The sequence below is a fragment of the Homo sapiens genome, chromosome 2 (genome assembly GCF_000001405.40).
Source record: "Homo sapiens chromosome 2, GRCh38.p14 Primary Assembly".
NCBI lineage: Eukaryota > Metazoa > Chordata > Mammalia > Primates > Hominidae > Homo > Homo sapiens.
The window spans coordinates 105,691,765-105,694,158 of NC_000002.12; the positions used below are offsets into that span (position 1 = coordinate 105,691,765).

The window sequence follows — 2,394 nt, forward strand, 5'->3', positions numbered from 1 at the left end:
GCAACCCCAGATGAAGATCAGAGACAGGGTGTTAGAATCAGTGGATTGCAGACCCTGGTGAGGTCAAAGGGTTTCTGGAATGTTTGAGGCACTAGAGGGAAAAAGCAGGAGAGACAGGAGGAAGTTCATGAGCCTGACCTCTGCGTGGAAAAAAATGCCAACCTTGGTCAGGATGCAACTATGTTCTGTCCACCTCCTCTGCTTCAGCAGTGAGAAGTCAGGATGTGGAGTTCTGCTTAGTTTGCATTACTGACTGCTTATGCGGAACCCGTAAGGATGACCTATGCATCACCTCTTCCCTTTGGGAGAGAACAGCAAGTCTCTGCAGCCCAACGTACCGGACACTGCCTGTGGCTGAGCACCTCAGGGAAGGCCTGCTGGCTCTGAGCACCAGCTCACTTTGGTGCAAGAACACTGAGCTTCGCCCACAAAAACAAGCAGGTGTGTTCAACCATGATCAGTCCTTGGAGGCTTGAAGTCTTGGAATTCCCCTCAGCTTTCTCTACTTGCTGCTGACCAAAACAAAACAAAATGAAGCCTCAGTGTGAGCAGCCAAAGAGTGAAACTAACATCCATTTTATTTATCAGGAAACCTTCTGAATAAATGCATGACTTTCTGGAGTATGTTTTACTGGTACTTCCAGATCCTGGGTGTGGAAATGATACATTGTAATCACTACTTGTTTTCAAATAAGTCTTTCACTAAAAATGTGATGGGCCCTGCTCCATGCCAAAAAAAAAAAAGTTACTTGCAATTATTACAAATTATTGCAACAAACCATGCTTTTCAAAATAATTTAATCAGGGCATATTTTGAAGACTTGGTCTTGGCTGTTCGTTTGAAATCATGAAATGAGGCTGCTCTGTTGGACTTGGGAACCCCTCAAATTAAGATTCCGCGGTTAATAGCATAGCCTCTCAGCATGTCCCCTGCTGTCGGTTTTGTAAGTTTCAGATGTCCTTTAAATTGCTCTACCAGACTGACAAAACATCATTCCTGGAGAATATTTGCCTTCGTATGCTCAGAAAAGATAGAGCTAGGGAGATCTGAATTTCAAGTATTTTTTTTTAAACCAGATGCTGCAGATTTAGGGGCAATTTTTATTCTTATTTTAAATTCTCTGAGCTTTGGACCTTTCACTGCTTGAAAACGTGCTTCGTGTTTTAACACCGTTTTAGGAGACATTTTCAAATGTCTTGATTTGGTCTCTATTTTAGGTTCTGATATTCCAATATCAAGAGTTTTGTGCCCATTTTTCATGTTAAGTTGTCCCTCTCGTCTTTTGGCATTTGCTCCTGGAGAACAGAAAATTTAAGTTTACGAGTCATCATATCAGCTCCGAGATTGACATTTGGTCACACTAACCTTGGGAAGATTCCTGTGATAACAGAAGTGAAATGGCCTTTATCTTTTTGACAATCCCACTTGATTTTATTTTATTTTATTTTATTTTTTTGGCCTTCAAAGTGGATGTCCAGACTTGAGAATGCTGAGTGAATTTTGACCTTCAAATTTTTAGATCAAATCAGTCCAATACTTTTCCATCAACCGTGGAATTGTTAAAGTATAAAAGGTAATCCTTCTGGCTTATTGAGGCTAAAATGCCATCCATTAAAAATGACTATATATTTACACATATATATAGCAACTGAAAACTATATATTAAGTATGAGTAGAAAAAAAGTTTTAGATTGAGAGTAGTTGCATATGAAAATTAGTCATCTATTTTCCATTTTTTTTTTTAATGAAAGGAAAGATTACTTGGTATATTAAGAAATCTATGAGTTCTTCCTGGGCAATTAGCTCAGAGAGAAAAATTGGTGCTTCATGGATGAGTAGAAGATAAAATTGTAGAGCATTATGGCCAGAAGAGATGATAAAATTATTTAGCCAAAGCCCCTTCCCCAACAGAGGGACAGAAGCGCAGCGGGGCACAGGTAGTACTCTCATCCCAACGCCCTTCATCTGTGGACCCATCCATCCTGCCACTCTCAGACCCAGCATGGAATCCATCCAAACAGGACCAGCATTTGTGAAGAGGCCTCGCTCTGCCTTCATGCTCAAATTGGCTTGCAAATTTTGAGCCCTCTCAGGTCAAAGGCTCTCCGCCATGACCTGTCTTTCCCTGTTGCAATGGCTCTCAAGTCTGCCAGAGCAACTGCACTGTTTGTACTTTACTGCTCGTTACTGGCTGCCCATGTGAGGCTTCTCCCCAGCACTTCCAAGGCCCACATCAACATTCTTTCCAAACCACCATACTGCTGGGAAGAAGTAATACACAGACATGGAATAAACAGATCTTCAACCATCGAAGGCCATCTTTCCAAAGGCCACTCTGGGCTCACCCTCTCCATCCCTGACTCAGGAATTCACAGGGAGACATCATGGCGGCT

At 41.8% G+C, this 2,394-nt stretch overlaps 2 annotated features.

Moving 5' to 3' along the window:
- Positions 472-551: an enhancer, noted in NCBI's record as "active region_16317". NCBI's record gives its function as "activates an Ori minimal core promoter by ATAC-STARR-seq in GM12878 lymphoblastoid cells {active_cell/tissue: GM12878}" and the evidence as "EXISTENCE:reporter gene assay evidence [ECO:0000049][PMID:35858748]".
- Positions 2,225-2,394: an enhancer, noted in NCBI's record as "experimental_52468 CRE fragment used in MPRA reporter constructs". NCBI's record gives its function as "activates a minimal promoter by MPRAs in K562 erythroleukemia cells, with activity observed for the introgressed 2:106310531 variant allele {active_cell/tissue: K562}" and the evidence as "EXISTENCE:reporter gene assay evidence [ECO:0000049][PMID:34662402]".